Source organism: Homo sapiens, chromosome 17 (assembly GCF_000001405.40).
Source record: "Homo sapiens chromosome 17, GRCh38.p14 Primary Assembly".
Classification (NCBI taxonomy): domain Eukaryota; kingdom Metazoa; phylum Chordata; class Mammalia; order Primates; family Hominidae; genus Homo; species Homo sapiens.
In genome coordinates, this window is record NC_000017.11 from 74083599 (window position 1) to 74107194 (window position 23596).

General features: G+C 48.5%; 1 long non-coding RNA gene across 2 annotated transcripts in view; it reads right to left on the reverse strand.

Annotated features, from left to right (window-relative positions):
- Positions 1-23596, reverse strand: part of LINC02074 (long intergenic non-protein coding RNA 2074) — a 50789-nt gene that overhangs the window by 21488 nt on the left and 5705 nt on the right. Inside the window, exons 2-4 of one of the 2 annotated variants that reach the window (NR_184085.1) lie at positions 23282-23383; positions 13035-13130; positions 7424-7578 (exon numbers count right to left, since the gene is read on the reverse strand). This is a non-coding gene — a long non-coding RNA (long intergenic non-protein coding RNA 2074). The remainder of the gene's footprint in view (positions 1-7423; positions 7579-13034; positions 13131-23281; positions 23384-23596) is intronic. The other variant, NR_184084.1, reaches the window with a different exon arrangement.

The following is a 23596-nucleotide window of genomic DNA, read 5'->3' on the forward strand; positions in this document are numbered from 1 at the left end:
AATAGATGGTCCAAAGGTCGCCCAGGATAGCTGGCCCAAAGCAGCGCCTTAACACCATACCTGGCACATGGTGAGCATTTAGGAAAGCACTTTTGTCTGCTTAAATTTCTAGCCCTTCTTTGGGCTCTTTTGGGAGACCCCTCATGCACTACATGAGCTTCAAACACAGTGGCCTGAGTGATCCCTCCTGGTTACAGAGTGATCATGTGACATCATGCATGTGATCGTGTGACTGAACTGTCTCGGGGCTGCATTCCCCAGATCAGAGTGATTGGTTCAGAGATGGACATGGAGTTCAAGCCAGCCAAGTAGTCTTGCTGGGGCAAATCTATTGACTCTGTTGGAAAAATGATACTTTGGCAGGTTCACAGATGGTAACAAATGTACCCCTAGGTGCCTGCATAGATAGGAGGCGAGGCTCTCAGTATGAGGGGCAGGGGGTATACGAGAACACTGTATTTTCCACTCAATTGTGTTGTGAACCTAAAACTCTCTAAGAAATAAAGTCTATTAAAAGCAAAAAGGTTAAGGTCTTTAAATCGGGGGAAAAAAAAAACAGATAGATGCCAATATAGAAAAGAAAGAAATACAGGTTGTGTGTGGTGGCTCACACCTGTAATCCCAGAACTTTGGGAGGCCAAAGGGGGTGAATAACTTGAGGTCAGGAGTTCAAGACCAGCCTGGCCAACATGGTTAAACCTTGTCTCTATTAAAAATACAAAAATTAGCTGGGCATGGTGACACATGCCCGTAGTCTCAGCTACTCGGGTGTCTGAGGCAAGAGAACCAGTTGAACCCAGGAGGTGGAGGTTGCAGAGTGGAGATCGCACCACTGCACTCCAGCCTGGGTGACAGAGTGAGACTCTGCCTCAAAAAAAAAAAAAAAGGAAGAAATAATATCATAATTTAATGTTGAAATATTTCTGTGTGTGAGGCAGAGGGGCTGGGAATTGCGCTTTGCAAAATAAGAGCTATTTCTATGAAATTATATATTTTGGGGGGCATTTAGATACAGGAATTACTTAAATAGTTTAGCTTCTATTGAACTTTTGTGTATGGGGTATGAGATGGTAGGAAAGGCCATTTGCAACTATCTTTTTAAAAATCATAAATGCAAACTAAGCTTTTTCTATGAAATTATATATTTTGGGAGGGGCATTTAGATACAGGAATTAAATAGCTTAGCTGCTATTGAATTTCTTTTGTGTATGGGGCATGAGATGGTATGAAAGGCCCTTTGTAACTATCTTTTAAAAAATCATTTTTATTGAGTCTGAATATTGTAATAATATTTTGCACTACAGTTGCTAGTGCTGGGTGAATGAGAGCCTGCAGGGCCAGTAGTTATCCTGCCTGTGCTGTGCAGGACCCTGTCATGAGAATGAATCCAAATTGAAGTTCGAAGAGGAGAGAAAGTCCTGATGACATTGTTTGAACCCCTGGAAACACTCATGCATAAAGTCAGCACAACTCTTGGACATTTCAGATACATGGACCAATGAATTCCCTAATTCAAGTTGTGTTTCTGTTACTTGCAACAAAAAAGCCCCAATGAAATAAATCAATGGATAAATGAGCATATAACCCAAGACTTGAAAGAAAAGAAACTTCAACTCCCATTCCCGAGATTCAAAGGTAAAGAGATTTATGTGGATAAAGCAAGATAGACCAGCATGGCTACGCACAAAGCTTAGTGGCTGAGAAAAACAATGAGAACTCTTGCTTTATAAAACTGCCATGTGAAAGGAAGAGTCTAGGCTGGTGACCCAGCTCAATGCAATGGCTTAAAGGTTTGTTCAGAAGAGTAGATTTTACTAGAAACTAAGGCTGATGTTGGAAGCTCCCCAGATCAAATCATCCTATCACTTGGTTGCACAGTGGGAGTTGTTGGCCAAGCATGGAAATCTGAACTATAGGGGGCTGTGACCTCGATGCCCTTGGGTGGCACTGCTGTACCCTGAGTTGGGATTGAGACCATGAAGCACCTGCCATTAATTAGTCAGTGTCACTCACTGAGCTCTGCAGGCCCAGTCTCCAACAGCGACATCAGGTGGCAGTGGGAAGTAATGGCAGTGATTGACCAATGAGACTGTACTTGTCAAGTCTCTGTTGGAATAGGGCTGTACCCCTTAGTGCAGAGTAAGTCCCTGAGATTCTCGGACAAATCCAGTGTGAGGGAGGCCACAGGAGGAGATCCTGGACATTGTGAGTATTCTGGCAAACAACTGGAAAAAAATAAGAGCTGTAATATATTTGCCTCCCAAACTGGAAGATCAAGTCATGTTTTCCAAAAGATGTTTAAGGCTAGAAGGTCAAGAGCTTAAAAGTCTGATTCCAGCCTCTCATTAATCCAGTGTGTGACCTTAGGTGTGTCATGTTCACTTTTATTTCTTTATTAACATCCCCTCCCCCCCACACTGGAAAAAGAGAATGAGAAGAGCCAGAAGTCCCCTTCCAGTGCACCCACAGATGATGCGGACAAAGCTCTCTGAAGGCCTCACCTACATCAGGTGGCAGTGGCTCCAGGCAAGTATCTCTCCTACTATACAACATCCCCCATGCCCTGCGGCTATAGGAAGCTGCCAGGACAGCAGACCTGGAAGAAAGCATCCTCCTGGGGTGAGGAACAATGCACAATGTGGGATTTGTATCAGGGGTGGCCCCTAGCATTGAGTTTAGGACAACCTCCTGCCAAGCAGCTCTCACCACCCCAATCCCAGTCCCCGAGAGGCCAAAACACAAACCTGACACCCACTTCAGGGCCCCCTTGCTCCTCTCCTGTGACACCTACCTCTCCCTATAGAAAATGCCAAGTAGGGGCCAGGCGCAGTGGCTCACGCCTATAATCCCAGCACTTTGGGAGGCCGAGGCGGGTGGATCACGAGGTTAAGAGATCAAGACCATCCTGGCCAACACAGTGAAACCCTGTCTCTACTAAAAATACAAAAATTAGCTGGGTGTGGTGGTGCACACCTGTAGTCCCAGCTACTCGGGAGGCTGAAGCAAGAGAATCGCCTCAGGTGGCCATTGCAGTGAGCCGAGATTGTGCCACTGCACTCCAGCCTGGGTGACAGAGCAAGATTCTGTCTCAAAAAAAAAAAAAAAAAAAAAAGGAAAAGAAAAGAAAAAAAACCCAAGTAGGGCAGGAACACCTGTGGGCCCCAGGATGCTGGACCACAGCATGCAGGCAGGAAGAGAACCCTCACTCCCCGAGCTAGACGGAATCTCAGCAATGTTATTTAAGTGCTTCAGTTCACAGATAAGGAAACTGAGGCCCAGTAGGGGGAGTAAGTCTAGAAAGCCTCCCAAAGGGATCAGCGGCTGGGCTGGCCAAGGCTGGGGCCCAGCTCACCTGTCTCCTAACCCCACACTCTCTTCCAGCATCCCCCTCTTCCCAATGCCATATCGTCTCAGACAGGGGCTCTAGGTCTCTCAGCACAGCACGGCCAGCTCATGGCCACAGACAAGGATAGTGTGGGGCAGACCAGTAGGCCTCTAAGCCCATCCCACCCCACCCTTCTGCCCAAGGCAGGGAGCTTCTGAGCCCACAGCAATCCCCTGAGCTTCCAAAGGCTGCAGAAGCTCTGTCCAGAAGAGTGCAGACTTAAGGGGGATTTGGGTTGAGCAGGAAGAAAGGGAGTGGAGGGGGCTGAGGCCCAGAGTTGTGCTCTGAGGGGACTGGCTGTGGACGCCGAGAGCACCGTATGTCAAAGCTAGATCCGAGCTCAGACATAAGCCCCCTTCCCCTCCTTAGAGGGAAAATACACAAGCTGCTTTCAATGAAGGCTTTAAATGGAACGTGTCCAGGCATTTCAATGTTCTCTTCCCAGAATAGGGCCCTCAATTCCATCTTCTCTGAGCTGGCAACTAAGGAAGGACATCTCTAACTTTGCCTGGAAATTATAAGTCTGCCCCTTGCTATTTGCTCTGTGAGAGACAGTGCAGTGCAGTGGTCGGGCTGGAGACGCCAGCTTAGATTTGGGGGTGAGGCTGCCTCTCTGGGTGTGGCTCTGCCACTTACTGACTGGGTGAGCTCAGGAAACCACTTTATGTCTGTCTCTGAGCTCCCATTTCTTCACCTATAAAGTAGCAGGATAGCATTGCCTACTGTATTTGTTTTTCATTGCTGCTGTAACATGTTGTCGCAAATTTAATGGCCTGAAACAACACAAATTTATAATCTTACAATTCCATAGGTTAGAAGTCCGCCATGGGTCTCATGGGGCTAAAAGCAAGGCGTCAGCAGGTCTGCGTTCCTTCTGGAGGCTTCGGGGGGAATCATTTCCCCTGCTTTTTCCAGCTTCTAGAGGCTGCTCACATTCCTTGGCGCATGGTCCCTTAACCTCTGTCTGCCAAGCCTGCAGCACAGCATCTCTCTGACCATCCTGTCATCACATCTCCTTCTCTGACCCCTCTTCCGCTTTAAAGACACACCCAAGTTATGATAATAATAAACCCCCCAGCCCCAAATCCTTAACTTAATTACATCTTCAAAGCCCCTTTTGCCATGTAGGGCTCCAGGAATTAGGATGTGCCTATCTTTTGGGAGAAGGGAGTATAATTCTGCCTACCACATCTACTTTTTAGTGTTGCTGAGCGGGTTTAAGGCAAGGATTTAGCACAATGCCTGGTACACAGAAACCACTCGATAAAGGGCAGCTGTATTCATGGACATGGCCTCATTTTGTGATGTCTTCCAAGGGCAGCTCCGCCTGCCTGTGACACACTGTGCCCCATCCCCTGCACACACATCACACCAAGGCCAGCATGCACGTAGCACCCAGGGCACATATGACAGGCTTGCTGCCCGCTGTCCCTCTGCACACAGCCTGCCTCTGGCGCAGGCTCCAGATGCTGCTGTGCATTTTGCTTCTGCTCAGGCATTTGCATCCTCTTGCAGTGCCACAGATGTTTGCACAGATGTTCATATGCTGACAGACACATGTGCACATACATGATCTGCCACTCAGATCAGCAAAGTGCACACAGACACGCACACACTTGTCCCATATAGGCATGTCCACATCTCCCCAGACCCCACTGACAGAGGCCCCTGCTCAGAGAGGGCACTGCCACTTTTTCTGGCCCTGAGCAGATTGAGCTGCCTCCCTGTCCCCTGCAGCCTGCACTCAGCAGCCCCTTCCATGTCTTGTCCTGAGTGTCACCACCTCCCACTCCTGCTCCCAGAGCCCCAGCTCCATTGATTGGCCTTGCAGCTCAGCAGCCGGAGATGTGCCCCAGCTGGAGCAAAACACTTGTAATTTATGGAGTGTCTGATTTTTAATCAGTTTTTTGTTCCTGTGCTGTAATTGTCCTAATTAGATATACATATTTTGATGAAGGTTTTTCCAAAATAAAAATTGTAATCGAATCTTGCTTGACATTCTTTACACCCACTCGCTCAGATCCAAACTTCCACAGCAGCAGGCTCTGGAAACTGTGCATGCAGCTCAGGCATCTCCACACACCTCCCCTGGACCACTGCAGGAGCTGTCCTGTGGCTCTCACAGGCTGGAAGGCAGGCGCCCACTAGGCAGGGCAGTTTCCTTTGCCCTGGGCCTCCAAGTGCCCCATCAGGGTGGGGCAGCCTTCTCCCTGCGGGTCTGGGCCCTCCAGGGCTTCTGGGCCAAGGCTTACCCCTGGGGGAGGGCTCAGGACTATCTAGCACTGAGGTGCTCTCTCTCTGCCCATGCTTCTGCTCCCTGGGACCCCTTCACCAACCACGGAGAATTGATGCCATCCCACAGGCCTCAAGGGCAAAGGCTGCTTCTGTCATCCCCCACTCTGATAAATAACAACAATTCCTGCCACTTACGGAGTATCTACCATGTGCCAGGCACTGTATTTTATATACATTAGCCCTAATCTGCATAACAACCCTCGGAGGGGATTTTTCAGAGGAAGAAATCAAGACTTGGAGAGGGTAATTCACTCGCTCAAGGTCACATGGCAATAAATGAAAGGACTGCAGTCCTCTTTGCCAGAACACTGAGAGGTAATGGCTGCCTTCCTGGGAAAATCCAAGAGGAGCTGCAGTCCTCCAGCTGCTCCTCTTAGGGGGAGGATCCACAGGGCTGATCTTACCCCTGCACCCCAGCATCAATCTGCAGCTGACCTTGAATAGCCAATGATGCAAAATTCCTCCTTCTGAGCCTACAGTACAGACCACACATGAGAAGTCTGGTGTCTGTCTACATGAGTCTCTCTAGGACCTGGAAACCAGGGTTCAGGTATCAGTGTGTGACCAAGAAGTCAGCCCTGCGACTGGCTGGGAGGCTGTGGACAAGAGCTGTTTCCTAGGATCTCAGACTCCAAGAAGGACCCTCGCGGCAAACCTATCAGGAGATCCAAGCTAAGAACTTTCTGTGCTGGTTCTTAAACTGCTGACTCTTACCTCCAAACCTCCCAGTCATACTCTGCAAACCATGGTTGTGCTTCGCCTGATGCACCCAGTTAGCTCCTGCCAGTAGGGGGCACTCGGGAGACAGGCAAGAAGAGGGAGGAGGACTTGTTCCTTTCCTTTGCTTCCTGTCCCTCTCTGGTGATGGGTCTTCAATCTGGTGGTGGAGCTGGTTCTATTGTCAGTAGTTGGTCCTAGTTTGCAATGTGCTTGTCCCACACTTCAGAAGGTGCCTTATTGTGCCCTCTCAGAGATCCCAGCAGCAACTGGCACCTGCCCCATCCCTGAAGAGCTCTGAGTTCCAGCTCCTAGTGGCCTCTCCACCAAGCTTTTAAATTCCAATAATCCCAATCTCTTCCCTTGTTCCCTCAGCCCTAGGGATGGTGGCTGCTTCTTGCAGTTGCTACCTTTATGATTGCTTCATAAGTATCACAGAACTTTTGCAGTTCTCCAATACTCCAACTCCTTCTATTAAATTCTCTCTGTTAAAATAACTGGTGTGGTTTCTGATGTTTTACTGCCCTACACCCTGCATGGTGTCCAACTGTAAACTGGAAAAGGTGTGTTGAGAGGTGCCACAGCCACACCTGTGTTGGGGAGTGTGGCCCACTGGCCCACAGAGCTGGGCAAAAAAACCAGCAGAGAACTATGCCACCTCTAGTGCTCAATCGGCACACTAGGCTGAACTGATAAAGGAGTAAGTGAATGAATGGACAAAAGAATTAATAAATACAATAAAAATGATCAACCATGGAGCAGTCTGTTCCAGACCCAGACATGGCACCCCCCTTCTTACAGAGCCCAGCACAGGCTAAAATCACCAAGACAATCTGATTTGGTAATGGTTAAGATGAGAAGTTTGATTGTTCTCTGGGGTAATTTGACACAGAAAGGGGGAGTAGGAGCAACACTGAGCACCAGCTGAGCCTACTGACTGTAGTAATTAGGGTAATTAAAGCTAGCAACTGGCCCAAAAATCTTGGTGGTTTAATAAAACTGCTCAGTGGTTTATTTCTCACTCACCTCAAGTTGAATGTAGATGTTGCTGATCAATCAGTTCTTCCAGGAGATTCCCCTCCAAGTGGTGACTCAGGTATCCAGGATCCTCCCTGGATCTTGAGGCTCTGCTGTCCCTAGGATATCCTGGAAGTCCTCTGTTAGGGATTCCCTATATTGAGCTGAAAGATGAGAAAAGAAAGAAAACATGGAGAATCTCCCACCCAATGCTCAACCACCTTGGCCTGGAAGTAATATGCATCATTTCCATTCAAATTCCACTGGTGAGAACTAATCATATGGACCTACCTAGATGCAAGAGGGGCTGGAAAATATAATCCATGACTGAGCAGCTATTTTCCAGAAATGGTGATACACCATGGATGTGGAACATATTTTTGTTGGTCAGCTAACTATTTCTCTTACCCTCAGGTACGGTATTAACTTGAAGCTATGATATCAAAAATATGTTAGATCTTGTCTTAGTCTGTTTTGTGTGGCTATAACAGAATACTACAGACTGGGTAATTTATAAACAATAGAAATTTATTTGGCTTATGGTTCTGGAGGTTGGGAAGTCCAAGAGCATAGTGCTATCATCTGATGAGGGCTTTCTTGCCATGTCATCCCATGGCAAAAGGGGAAGGGCAAGAAAGTACGTGCCAATAAGAGCAAGAGAGAAAGGAACCTAACCTATCCATTTTATCAGGAACCCGCTCCCACAATAATACCATTAACCTATTCACAAGAGCAGTGCCCTCATGACCTAGTCATCTCATAAAGGTCCTACCTCTCAACACAATTGTATTGGGGATTGTGCTTCCAATACATGAATTTTGGGGGATGTGTTCAAATTATAACATTCCACTCCTGGTCCCCAAATTTATATCTTCACCCTGCAAAATACATTCATCCCATTCTAATAGTCTCCAAAGTCTTAATTCATTCTAGCATCAGCTCAAACGACCAAAATCCAAAGTCTCACCTAAAGTAGATGTGGGTGAGATGGAAGGCATGATTCATCCTAAAGCAAATTTCCTCCGGCTATGAGCTGTGAAATCAATGTAAGTTATCTACTTCCAAAATACAATGGTGGGACAGGTATAGAAGAGACACTCCCATTCCAAAAGGAAGAAATAGGCAAGATGAAAAGAGTAATAAGCCCCAAGTAAGTCCAAAACCCAATGGGGAAAACAACATTAAGTCTTAAGTCTTCCAAATAACTTTTCTTGACTCCATGCCCTGCCTTCTGGAAACACTAGGATAAAGACTGGGCCCCACAACCATGGTTTTACTGGGCTCAGTTCACCCAGCAGATCTCATGGACTGGAGTCTCAGACCAGCAGCCTTTTTTTTTTTTTTTTTTTTGAGATGGAGTCTCGCTCTGTTGCCCAGGCTCAAGTGCAGTGGTGCAATCTCGGCTCACTGCAACCTCTGCCTCCAGGGTTCAAGTGATTCTTCTGCCTCAGCCTCCTGAGCAGCTGGGACCACAGGTGCACATCACCCAGCTAATTTTTGTATTTTTAGTAGAGAGGGGTTTCACCATATTGGTCAGGCTGGTCTTGAACTCCTGACCTCGTGATCTGCCCACCTCGGCCTCCCAAAGTGCTGCGACCACAAGCATGAGCCACCATGCCTGGCCGCCAGCAGCTCTCTTAGTCTGTTGCTGCAAGCTCAAGCTAGTTACTCTATAGTACTGGGGTCTTGGGAATGGCCCCACTCGGCATTGCCCTAGTGGGGACTCCGTCATAGCTCTGACTTCACATTTCCACTTGGCATTGCCCTAGTAGGGGCTGCTTTCTATGGTGGCTCTGCCCCTGGTGACAAGTCTGTGGCTGCAGCCCTCGACTGTCCACATCATCCTTTAAAATCTAGGTAGAGAAAGTCATGCCCCCATAGCTCTTATATTCTGTACATGTGCAAAATCAGCACCATGTGAATGCTGCCAAGATTCACAGCTTGTAACTTCTGTAGTGGGTCAGGCCACATCTGGGCCTACTTGAGCCATGGTTGGGGTGGCTGAGGAGCTCTGCACCTGAATGTGGGGAACAGAAGCCCAACGTGGCTCTGGGCAGCAAGCCCATGAAGGGTACCCCAGGATCATCCCTCAAAATCATTCTGCCCTGCTAGAGCTCTCAGCCTGTAATGGGAGGAGTAGCCTCAAAGAGCTCTGAAATGCATTTGGAGTCTGTTTTAGTCTGTTTTCTGCCAATGTAACAGAACACCACAGACTATGTAAATTATAAACAAAAGAAGTTTATTTGGTTCTGGAGGCTGGGAAGTCCAAAAGCATGATGCTGGCATCAGGGAATGACCACCCTGTGGTAGACAGGTGGAATGCAGAAGTTTGCACAAAAGACAGAAAGAAATGGGCACAACTTATCCCTTTATCAGGAGCCCGCTCTGGCAATAACTAAACCACTCCTGCAATAATAGCATTAATCTATTCATGAGGAAAAAGACCTCTTAATTACCTAATTACCTCTTAAAGTTCCTGCCACCCGATACTGTCACATTGATGATTAAATTTCAATGTGACTTTTGGAGGAGACATTCAAACCACAGTAGGTTCACTCTCCCATTGTCTTGTTGATTCCTATCAGTACTGACCTTCTTAGCGAATGGTCACTTAACCACATCCTTAGTTTGCTCTCCTAAACATGTTTTTTCATTCTTCACATGGTCAGGCTGAAAATTTTTAAGATCTTTTCATTCTTCTTCTCTTTTCTGCTAATTATAAATTCCATCTTCAAATCATTTATTTCCTTAATGTATATGATTAAAAGTAGACAGCTTCTTCACTATTTTGCTTAAAAATTTCTTCTGCCACATATCCTGGTTCACCACTCTTAATTTTTGCCTTCCATAAGGCCCTCAGGCATGGACATAATTCAGCCAAGTTCTATGCAACTTTATAACAAGGATAGCTTTTACTCCAGTTCCCAATACCTTCTTCCCCATTTCCATCTCAGACTTCATCAGAATGGCCTCTACCATCCATATGTCTACCAACATTCAGATCACAACCACTTAAGTAATCTCTAAGAAGTTTCAGACTTTACCTACATTTCTTCTCTTTTTCTGAGCCCTCTGCAGAATCACTCTTTACTACTCCATTCGTGGCAATCTAGACTTTTTCTAACCGGCTTCTCTAGATGCTTCCAGCCTCTACTCATTACCCAGTTCCAAATCTGCTTCCATAGTTTCAAGTATTTGTTATAAAAAATAGTCCCACTTCTCAGTACCAATTTCCTGTCTTAGTCCATTTTGTGTTGCTACAACAGAAAACAACAGCCTGGGAAATTTATAAACAATAGAAGTTTATTTGACTCATGATTCTGGAGGCCAAAAAGTTTAAGAGCATGATGCCGGCATCTTGTGAGGACCTTCTTGCTGTTATCATTCCATGGTAGTTGGTGGTAGAGCAAGAGAGCGCACATGAGCAAAACCAAGAGAGAAACAGAGACAAACGTACCCTTTTTTAATCAGCATCCCACTCTTGTGATAATGCCATTAATTCATTCATGAGAGCAGAGCCTTCATGACCTAATTACCTCTTAAACGTCCTGTTTCTCAACAGTTTCACATTGGGGATTATGTTTCTAATGCATGAATTTTGAGGCACACAAACCATAGCAGACCTAGGCCTTTCATGGGAGGGAATACAAACTAGAGGCAGACATAAAGCTGTGTCCATTAAAGAGGTGAAATACATTATGTGCATTCTACTCACTGGGTAACCAGCAACATACTGGACCTGAGTATAAGAAGAAACATAAAAATTGTGTATCTTGTAATTCCAGGCTTTGAGCTGTTTTCAGTCTGACTGATGAGACAAGGTTTGTGCCAGTGAAACAAGTAGAGATTAATTCAAGACAGATGTGATCACCAGTCTCTGCTGGCATAAATCAAGTTTCATAAATGACTGAACTAGCATTTGAACCAACATTTCTTCTTATTTTCATCCCAGTAGCATCATCCTAATCTGGTGACCTTAAAGGCTTTTAAAAATCTGGTTATTACTAGAAAAATGTTGCCTCCATCTAAAAGTTGCAATAAAGCTTTCTTTCCCTGAGAAAAATCTAGCCAGCCCTTTGTGTAGGTTGACTATAGCGGGCATGTGCCCAGCATCATTTTCCTGATGGTTCATTCTCCCTCACCCAATACTGAGCCTTCTCCAATCTAGGGAAGTGGTAAGTCCATGATCCAATAAAAAACATTCCATCTACATGACACAGTGGTCAGTTAAAAGACTCAAGTTGGTCCAATAAAAATCCTTCCCTAGAATTAACTTAAATACACTAAAAGACAAAATTTACTTTCCAATTGAGGTTGATAAGCTTGGAAAATATGAATTAGGGCTACTTGTGGCCATGTTTCTCACCACACAGAGAGATTATTTCCCAGAATGAAGCCAAACAAGATAGCAGGCAGAGGAGCAACAGTTTTTCATCCTCAGTCTCATCCCTGAAGGCAGGTTCCTACTGCTGTCCCAGAATCCCTCAAAGCTCCTGGACTAATACATTCCCCATTTGCTTGAGCCGATTAAGTTGGATATCTATCACTTGCAAATAAGTGAGTCCTGACTAATATGTTGGCTTCACAGTGCCATGCCCAGTGCATCTTATCTGCACATCTCCATTTTCCTGCAGAAAAACGACCATTGGATGGAAAGGGCTGTGAAGCTCTCCTTTAAAGTACACATTCCTGGGCTTAACCCCAGACTTACTGATGCAGAATCTCTGGGGATAAGACCCAGGTATTTGTGTAATGCTACCAGTGATTCTGTTGCACACACAGTGCCAAGTTTGCAGCATGGGATCACCACATCTCATTGGCTGATTCCTGGAGTCTAACTCCCCTGGAAAATTTTGCTCTGGCCAGGTATCACACTTTAAGATGAATACTAAAGGGTGCTATGGTTTTAATGTGTCCCCCAAAGTTTATGTGTTTGAATCTTAGTCCCCAATGCAACAGGGTTGGGAGGTGGGACATTTAAGAATGGATTAGGTCATAAGGGCTCTGCCCTCATGAATGGATTAATGTTATTATCCCAGGAAAAGGTTAGTTATTGTGAGAGTGGACTTGTTATAAAAGTGAATTCGACCCCCGCTTGCCCTCTTCCTTCCTCACACTCTCTTGCCTTTTCACCTTCTGCCATGGGATGATGCAGCTTAGATGCTCTCACTAGATGCGGGCCCCATGACCTTGGACTCGCCAGCCTCCAGAACTGTAAGAAATAAAATTATTTTCTTTCTCAATTACCCATCTGTGGTATTCTGTGATAGCAACACAAAACGGACTAAGACAGAGAGCATGACCAGGAGAAAACCAGGTCAGTGAGGGCACTCGCGCTGTTCTTCCTCTGATGTGTTTTTTCAGAAATCAGGGTGTTTAACAGCAAATCCACAAGGGATATTCTGTCTTCAACGGTGTGAAAACTGTCATGTGGAAGAATAACAGATTGACTTTGTGGTGTTCCAGAGGACAGGCCTTCAACCAAGGGCATCCTGGTGCCAGATTTCAGCTAAATAAAGGGAAGAACTTTCTGGCAATTAGAGCTGCCCCATGGTAGAAGTGCTGCCACAGAAAGTAGTGAGCTGCCTGGCTCAGCCGTGTGCAGACATCAGCGGCTCACCATCTGTCAGTTGCTCTGGCTGGGGCTGTTCCACTGGACAGAAGGCTGGACGAGCTGCCTTTTTCTTGCCAGGATTCTACAATTCTAGAACGTGGTCTGGGGACAAAAGAGGCCAGGATTACCAGAGGGGCCAAGTGACCAGAAGGGGAGAGATGTACACGAGTTTGCTGGGAAGGACTCATGTGAGAAACCAAACTCAAGATAGACCTTGTAGGGAACACAGGTAGCATTAATTACAGCACAGGCCAGCACTGAAGTCAGGAAATTTTCCACTTTTTGTAACTTGGTTTTATTTCACTATTATTATCATGACTGTGAATTACTGTTAGAAGGAGGTGGAAAATCCCAGATATTTCCATTTTAGAAAAAAATAAAGTCAATAAACTGGCTGAAGCCTAATAATAAATATTCATGTCATTGAATATAAACAAGGAGAGTGAAGGAAGGGATGTTGTGAATGAAGTAGCTTCCATGTCAAGAAAAGCAGAGCACTGGGGCCGGGCGCAATGGCTGTAACCCCGGCACTTTGGGAGGCCAAGGAGGGAGGATTGCTTGAGGCTGGGAATTCAAGAACAGCCTGGACAATGTAGTAAGACCCCATCTCCACAAAAACAAACGATAACAGAACACCATGGTCCAGGAGGCCTCATTCCCGTCCGTCTCAGTCCTGCTCCCTTGGTCCTCAATGTCAGAGTGCCCAGGAGAACCTGAGTTATGTCTTCACTCAGGGTTTCTCAACGTTTTTCCAGCCCAGGCGTTTGGAAACTTCTCTAAGTATGCTACTGTATTTCTGCAGCAGGGAGAAGACTGGAGACCATGTACCGTATCAGCAACCAAGTAGGGGAAGGGAGAGGGACAGAGACGCTTGAAAGGGGACATCTGACTCTCATTTTGCAGAGGAAGGAGAAAAGAGCCGATGCATATAATGCCACCCCCATAGTCAAGAGATAAGGCTGCACAGTGGGGCTGGGCACAGCCCCGTGGAGACCGATAAATCACTCAGAACTCTGGAATTTGCAAGTGACAGAAACTGAACTCAACTAGCTTAAGCAAAACAGGGATTTATTGGCTCTTGCAGCTAAGAGGATTCTGGGACAGCTCACAGAATTAAAGAAAAGACTGTGGGGACCAGGACTTTGGGACCAATTCTGTCTACAACTCCATCCATGAGTCCATCCATCTGTCGCCTCTCCCACACACCCCTACCCAGTTTTCATCTGTGCTTGTCTCTGGTCGCAGACAGGCTCTCTTCCGCACTGATGAAGACGGCCACCAGACACCTCACATTCACACCTTCCCACTCCCGCATCCCCCGAGAAAAGTTCCTGCTGGTAGGATCCATGGCCCAATCTCAAAGGAAGGACTCTGATTGGCCCTGCTCTCATGCCCCCCACCCCCCTCGGACTGATTACTTTTGTACGAGGGATAGGCCCTGTGATTTGTCAGGCGTGGGTTCCATGCCTGTCCCTAGGGGCTCAAGAAGAGTGAAGGGCCTTAATAGCAACCTCTACTGGGGTCTAGGGTCAGCCCTGGGATGCATCAGGGGAGTGGGAGGGTGGTGAAGGAGGATCTTGGAGCAAAGAGGAGGGGCCGCTCACCTCCCCCTGGGAAAGTCCTCGTGGGCTGACAGTCATTGTGGGATTCCCTCCCTCACACCTGCTGACCCATGAGTCGGGCGGCTCTGCCTTCAGTGTGTGGAGGGGTCCAGGCAGGACTGGCTGAGGGCAGCTCACCCTGGCCCTCAGAGGATGATGCTTGGTGAGGTTCAGCCTCCGGATACACACACACACACTCACGCACATCCACACAGATGCACACTCGCATACCCTCATACCCACCAGACATACCCTGACACACACAGAAATGCATACACACACACACTGACACACCATACCCTCACAAACGCACTCACACTTGTAGACATATTTGCACACAATCAACACACTGACATACACAGACGCACTCACACACTCTCATGCTCACCAGACACACTCATACACGTGCTTATTCCTTCAGATACAGACACATGGGCGCCTATTCAAACAGATGCACTCACACTGACACACACAATTTACAGACACATTCATGCAGATGCACACTTACACATGCAACACTTTCACAATTCACCCACACATACTAACACTCAGACACATTCATTCTCACACGCACTCACTCAGACCACTTTCATTCACTTTCACACATTCACTCACACATGCACATTCACACACACACATTCAGTCACGTATGCTCTCACCCACACTCTGACTCAGTCTCACACATACTCAGATGTTGTCTCACATTCACACACATTCACACACTTGCTCACACACACACACGCACTCACATATGGTCCCACTCACACATACGCTCACACACATTTGCACACACACACGTGCTCACGTTCACACGCTTTCTCACATATGCTCTTACATACTCTCACACACACACTCCTCCGTCACGTAGTCTCTTTGAAGGTCCAGATGGTACCCCCCACTGCCTCCACACAGGCCTTACTGAGAGCACATTGTGGGTTTGCTCCCCTGGCTCCACAGGGGACACGGGGCCACCTGGCTGCATCTCCCTCCTGGCTGGGAAAGTCTCACACTGTCCCCTCCACTCCCCTCCAGGCAGGATCACCTTAGCCTGAGCATCCCAGTGGGAAAGATTCTGTCTTGTTTCTAAGGCCTCCAGAGAAAATGCCCAGGGAAAGCAAGGAGAGAGAAGAAGGTGTCTCTAAACTGCCTGGCAGCCAAAAGCACATCCTCAATGAAGGTGTCCCTGTCCCGTCGCCCTGCCTGAGAATTCCTAGACTGTGGTTGCAACTGTGCACCCCCAGACCATCTCTGCACCCTCTCTGAGTCCTTCTCTCCACCTGCTTGGTGGAAGTCAACATGCCTGCCTCGAGGGCCACCCAGGGGACACCAGGAGAGATCAAATGGCACCCAGCACAGAGCTGCCCACTCAGGGACAGGTCGACGAGGTCGACTCCATTTCCCTCCTGCAGAGATCACAGCTGGGAGATGGTGGACTCCCACGTGAAATCAGAGGAGAGCGATCCCTGGGCAGGGTCTGCCTTGTCAGCTGCATGATCTGTCCTGGCTGAGGCAGGGAACCTCGGATCATTACCACCCTCAAAGCTCACTCCCCAGAGTCCAAAAAGGAAAGCCACTTTAACTCCCCTGCGTGGTTTGGAAACCCAGACATCAAAGCCTTTCACTGCCTGTGGGCATTTTCTACCCCCTCCCTATGCTCGGCTCTTCATCCACCCTTCCTTCCCCCTGCAGGCCTCCTGGCCCTCCTCAGTGGGCCCCTATGCCTTTGCTCTTCTCCCTCCTGGAATGCCCTTCCCCTCCTCCGCTCAATCAACAAGACCTTTCCAACAGTCGTCTCTGCCATGAAACCCCTGCAAGCCACAGTCCCTCAACCCTGGTTCCTAACCAGGCCCTCCGCATACCCCCTAGCCTGTCCCATTGCCCCCGGCTGGATTTTGGCTTAGGATCTAGCTCCAAGAGACCCAGGTCCTGGAGGGCACAGGTCTTGTGTAGTGGACCCACTGCTACAGCCAGGCCTGGCTCAGTGGCAGGGCACATCCGGGGTCCCTTTGGATGGCACTGAAGAGGCCACGTGAACGGTTCCCTCATTCCCCTGGGAATCTGTCTGCTCTTGGTCTCCCTCCAAAACATCCACTTCTCCTTTCAGACACCATCCCTTTTCTGTTAGTTGATATTTATGGGTAATAAGCCAAGCACATCCAAGCCGAGGTGAAATGCCTCTTGAAATAAATACTCTCCCCAGCAAACAGGTCCATCCATCCAGGCAGGATGGGCTTTGCTGGCAGCCAGGGAAGGGCAGGCAGGAGCCCTGGGAGCAGGAGGGAGAAGGGGCTTCTGGGGACTCTGAGGGATGAAATAGGGTGGGGTACGGGGAGAGGTGGGCGCGTCACCGCATTTGGCACTGTCATCAAAAGTAGAAATGGAAGGTATCGCTTCTCAACCCCTCAGACTCCCATCACGGCAGAGATGAAGCAGGTCATTTTAAAGGCTGGCTCTGGAGTGGCAAAGACAGACCATGCAGTGCAGAAGCCTCTCTATGTAAGTGGGGAGGGTGAGGAGTCAAGGTCACTGAAAGTCAGCAAAGCCTCCGTCCATGAGTGCTGGGGCTAGGATGGTGCTAGGACATGAGGGGAGCCTGGGCCAGGCTGCAGAGGTCCAGGACATGGATGGGGCTGTCCATGTGAGCTGGGGCTCATCAGAGGTCATCAAGCCCCCTGCCTCACCTCTTAGCGGGACCACCTCACTAAACCCATCCTCAGTTTATGGCAGCCTCTCCTGGTGTCAGTTTCTTCTCAGGGAAAGGGTCATTCAGTGGGGCCGTGCAGGGCAACACTGAGCTCCACACCTAAGGGATGGAAAAATAACTCCAGCTTCTAAATATGTCCCCTCCCATGAGGACTGTAGCCTATTTCTACTTCCGGAGGTGACCTCTCCTCTGTTACAGATTCATAGGACCTGGTCCGTGCAGAGAGCTTCACCCCAACACACATTCTCAAGTACGGCAGATAAACAGGTATTCCAGAACACACACACGCACAGGCATGTATGCACTTACACATGTGCACATATACACATGCACATATATACATACACAAACATGCATGCACACATGTATACACTGTCAAACTGCTCATAGAGATCCAAAGCTCCACTTGCACAGCCACACAATGAAACAAAACAATCCCACACTTCGTTCCTACTCTTAACTGCCAGAAAAGCTGGGGGTACCTTTCAGATGCCAGGGACAAAACCAGGAAGACAGGCGAGGCTCTTCTTCACCCACCTAAATTCCTTCCGACCATTTCTCAAAGACCCACAGCCCAGCCTTTTCATGCTGCTGCCCTTCACTCTTGCAGGGGACACTCATGGAGCCTGAGACTGCCAACCTCTTCCCCAAAGCCCACGAATAGAATATGGAAGGAAGGAAGGAAGGCTCTTAGACAAAGAGGTCAGGGTCCACTTCTCCGTTTGATCTCCCCAGCTGCAAAGGGGCAGTTCAGAGCTTGCTAGGCCTGCCTGGCAGGGGAGGGGAATGAAGGGGTGAGAAGTGAAGCAGGCAGCCAGCAGTGGCCAGCATCCTCTGCGGCATGAATATCAGGTCATGAAATGCAATTAGGGCTGCTTGTGCCTAACCTCCCTTCCTCTGCAGCTCCCCGTGACTTGGCAGACTATTTGGAGGACGTTCCAAGCTCCATTAGTTTAGCATCCTTTGACCTTGAGGGTCTGCTACTGAGCACACATCCAACTGGCTGCCTTCCATCTGCACTGGGGCAAGTAGGGACCAGGCTTTGTCACTTTTCTGAAGACCAAGCTCTTGGCTGAACCAGTCTCCTGAGGGTCTCCATCATCCTCCCAGGCTACAAGTGCCTCTTGTGTTTCGAGCTGGTGAGACCTCCTCTGCCCCCAAGCTCTATGGCACCAAGATGACCTGCAAGCCACTCCTCTCCTACAGAGTGGACTCCTCCACACGGGAAAGGGCTAAGCAGCTTCCAGCCTTTTGTGGAGTAGGTGTTTGATAAGAAGTATTGCATTCGTGGATGAATAAACGCACAGCCCTGGAGGAGAAGCCTCTTCATGCTCATCTCCTTTATTTTCTTCTTTCCTTCTCCTCCTGAAAGTCATATCCTCTCCTGCCTGTAAGCTCAGGTGCTGTGTTCTACCTGCTTGCCACACTACTCTACTGAGCAGGCTCCCGCTGCTCTGGAGGACACACTCCAGTATCTGTTCTTTGCTTTCTTCTCATGTCATTTCCTTTTCCTCAGGTCCACTCGGGAGGAGTTAAGATCAGGATTGGAGGAGGGGCCCTGCCGGTCCTTCCTCCTCCACACACTCCTCACCTCACCCCGCAGCTGGATAGAATAGTGCCTCTAGCTGGCCTCGCAGTGTCCGGCTGTCATCCACTCGACAGTCCCCAGGGTGCTTCCGGCCCAGGACGCCAGGCTCTGCACGGGGATCTCCACCCCACCAACCCCGCTTGTTTTCTGCACATCCATACCATCCTGGCTGAGTCTGAGAACTGGCCACAATGAAATGCATGACAGAAGAGGAAAGAGCCTTCCCCAAATTGTCAGACTGAGCCCCAGCCTCAAGTACAGAGAAGGGGATAAGAGAATTTCACCCTTGGGTCTTCTCAGCCAAAACCTTCTAGCACTGGAGGCAAGAGGAGGAGAAGACAAAGAAGAAGGGATCCTCTTTTCCCCCAAAACCCGGTGCTGACTTGAGCTTCCCCAGCCCTGCCTCCCAGGACAGCATCTCACCTTTCAGACCTCTCCCTACCACCTCCTTCCTGCCCACTTAGAAACCTGCTCTAGGTTAACCCTGGAAAGGAACAGGTAAGTAATTCATACTAGAGTGTGTATTACTAGAGTATGAATCACTCAACAAGAACTTGATACTCTCGCCCCAGGTGTGTCTTCCTGTGACAGGGGCTGATGTTTTCGACCTGGGAAGGCAAGTAACTTCCATCTCCCATGCCCGGTCTAGCTGGCCCCGGCTGCCTAGAGCACCCCGGGAAGACTAGGAAAGTCTTCTGAAGCCACCTCTGGGCTCAATGAGAAAGAGTACGCTGATCAATTGGTGATGTCTGCCATGGACACAGGATGGGGAGAGTCCTAGTAGGTTCACTCGGTATTTGACATTCCAGATTTAATTCAAAAGGACTTATGTAGTGAAATTCCAGAACTGTACATGAGCCCTGCTCTAATTAGGCCAATGAGGTGAGCAAAGGCTGGCTTGGCCAATCCTGGCTGTTTCTCCCACTCCCCACCTGCCGCAGTTGGCTAAACTGAAATCAGAGAGAAGGATGCTCTGCTGCAGCCACTGGGCTCCCAAAACCCATGCAAGGCACACTGGAAAGATGGGCAACCACTGGGGTCAAGCAAGGCTGAACTCTCTCTGGGCCAAAAACCGGGTATGGATGAGTGGCCATGGAAGAACTCTGCCCTTCTCCGTTCAAGGTCAGGGTTGGGTGAGGTATGTTTCTGATTTGATTCCTCCAGCCTGAACAGTGGTTCTCAGATGTCACCGCACATGGAATCACTTAGGAAGCTTTTTAAAAACAGATACCTGCGCTTCAGCCCCAGAAATGCTGGCTTAACTGGTCTGGGGTGCAGCCTGGGCTTACAGAAATGTTAAAATCTCCCTACGATTCTAATCTTTCAGCCAAGGTCGAGGCCACTGGGCTGAGTTTTGAGAAATCGTTTAGGCCAGTGTTTCTGAAACTAATATTCATTCAAATCACCTGGGATTGTGTTAAAATGAAAACTTTTATTAGACTGGGGTGAGGGCCCAGAGTCTTCATCTATAACAAGCTCCCCAGTGATACTGATGCTGCTGGTTCTAGGACCACACTTTCAGGAGGAAGGATTTAGGCCACTGGTTCTCAGAGTGCAGTCCCCTGACCTGGCAGCCTCAATATCACCTAGGAGCTCCTTAGAAATGCACCTTCTTGCGTTCTATCCCAACCTACTGACTTGGGAACTTGGGGGCACACACAAGTGTGGGAACCAATGGTCACTGAGAGGGGCCAGTCTCCTGCTTCCAGGACACACCTGTTCCCCAGGTCTGCAGGATGCCTTCAGAAGAGCCCTCTTAGATACAGCTCCCTTCCTGGTCCAGCCAGATGTGTGTTTGAGGGGTGGTGAGAACAAGTGTAAAGGAATTAATGAGTCCATATGTCAATTTTTGGCCAGGAATAAATGCACACAGTAAATGCACAAACGTCTAGTTTTCCAACCCTGAGGGAGAAGGAAAAAAGACACCTGAAAAACACCAGCAATGGAGAGATGAAATTCAATTCCAAACTAAAAATACACATAATTTATCATTATCTAGAAGGAGATTGGGTGAAGGCCATTAGCGGGTATTTTCTGGTTGATGCTGCTCTCAACAGCATGAGTGGCGAGCCAGAAGGGTTACTGCCCTACATTTCCCTTTGCTGCAGTTACGCAGCAACAACTCCAATGCACAGAAGGCCCCATGCTGCTTCCTCCCACCAGAAATGATTTCCCATTATCTAGTGGCTGGTGGGTAGAGGGCATCAGGGCTCCAAAGGTACCAGCCTCCTGAGGGGCAAAGCCACCTCTATTTCTCAGAAAAAGAACTTAAACCCAGCAGGGCTGCTGCAGACAGACTACCCCGGGGGCAGGGGCCCAGGGGTGGTAGCGGGGATGGAGTACTTTTCCACAGCGTCCTGGCATCCTGGGTCTGCCCAGGAAACTCTAGGGGCTTGGGCTTGGTGGAGAGGAAGCAGGAGCCTCCAGGATGACTGTGGCTGTCCCCACCTGTCCACTTCCTGGGATGCAAGGAGGCTTTGCAGAAGAATGTAAGTGCTGTTGCCCTGACAGGCAGATGTGAATCGGAACTAACCTCAGAATACAGGGGAAGAGCCCAAGAGAGGAAGTGGCAAGTTTCATGTACGCCAACATCCTGGAGCACCTGCTGCATGCCAGGCACTGGGGACACAGTAAGGAATGGGACAGAGTTCCTGCCCTCGTGTTGCACGCAACCCAACAGCCACCTGGTCAAGCTGCCACAGATGTGTTCACTCATCGGTAAGGACCAGGATGCAGCCTAGCTGTTGGGTGGCAAGGACACCTGGCTCCTGGAGCTGCCATGATCCCAAATGACCTTCATCCCAGTCTCCAGGATGCTGGCTGCATTTCTCTTCCTGTTCTTTCCTGACAGTCTGGCTGCTCCCAGATCCCCATGAGGTTTCTGTCTTCGTATTGCCTTGTCTGTCCATAAACCCCATTACATGAAATAGCCTGTGTCAGCCTCCGGGCCTAACAACCTAAAGCACCTCTTATCAGCTGTAGGTCAATCCCTTAAAATGCTGTTATGAAGACAAAATGAAAACCAGTCAACAAAAATGAAGAGTTGAAGGCAGCAAGTAAATTCAGCAAATGGACCCTTTGGAGGACTGGCCATGGGGTGCACTGGATTTCAGGAAAATGACCTTTGGGAAATTGGGCTACCTCACCTCAAGCTCCATGGAGCCCCAGGTCGCTTTTGGTCTTGGGCAAAGTCTCTTCTGGAAGCCAGGCAGGTGCTCTGTTCCTCACTCAGCCCCACACCCTGTGGCTTCCCAGAAAAGACCTCATTCCAGCTGTAGATTATACCCAGCCTTGACTCACTGAAGAAGTTCAGAAAAGACTTTGGAGCCTCGAAGAATGGAAAGGGGAAGGAAGAGATGCCTGAGAGGACAGCCTGTGAATACTGTCCCCCAGCACCTATTTAAGCCACGCAGTGGCACCTCCTCCCCACAACAGCAGCCCCCAGAGAAAGCTCCAGCTGTCCCCAGCCCTTCTTTTCCTGCCTGATCACGCAGGGCTGTCAGGGCACCGGTTGGAGATGAGGGACAAGCCAGGGTGCGCACCTGGCCCACTAACAAGTCATCCCCCTCTCTGTGCAATGACAACCCTTGTCCTATGAATTACGTTTTTTTTTTTTAATAGCTTTTGACAAATGGGGTACGTATACACCATGGAATACTATGCAGTCATAAAAAGGAATGAGATCATGTCCTTTGCAGGGACATGGATGAAGCTGGAAGCTGTTATTCTCAGCAAACGAATGTAGGAGCAGAAAACCAAATACCGCATGTTCTCACAAGTGGAAGCTGAACAATGAGAACACATGGACATGGGCGGGGGGGGGGGGGGCCTGTTGGGAGTTGGGATGGGGAAAGAGAGAGCATTAGGAAACATAGCTAAAAAGAAAATAGCCAATGCATGCTGGGCTTAATATCTAGGTGGTGGGTTGACAGGTGCAGCAAACCACCATGGCACACATTTACCTACATAACAAACCTGCACATCCTGCCCATGTACTCCACAACTAAAAATTACAATTAAAAAATAAATAGCTTTTGACACCTGGTACTGCTCGTCACAATTAGTCCTAAGAGTCCCCAAACTCCAGCCAGTGGTATCCCTAATTATTGGTGAATTATTGAACACCAGTAATTCACTCTGCTTTCCTGAGCTCAATCTTTGAGGGCAGGAGATGGCAAAGGTCTAGGAAATGACTTAAGAATCCCGAAGGAGACCCAATCTGACCCCCTGCCAAGCCTCCCAAGTCTACCGTGATCAAGTTCCTGCTCTCACCTCCTCCCTGAGACTGCCTGGCCAGGGGTCATGGCAGCTGCCAGCTGCTGGGTAGAACAGAACCTTCCAGCCCTTTGACCCCACTCACCTGTTCTAAAAGGGAGCAGACGCAGTGTTCTCTCTCCCTGCTTCTCGCAAGGTCACGTGATCCCATTTCCACCCCTCTAGCTGCTCCCTCCTCGTTGTCTTTCTTTGAAAGAAAAAAAAAAAAGCAACCTTAATGAGGTATAACTTAAACATCATAATATTCACCACTTTAAGTGTACAATTCAACAAATTTTAATGAATGTGTCATCAAAATTGCTCCAATTTGATGGTCCTCTTCCTCTGCCTCTGGATAAGAGCTGGTCTTCGTGCCGCACCTTCTGTGCCCGCGACGACACGTGTCCAGACCTTGCCGCTG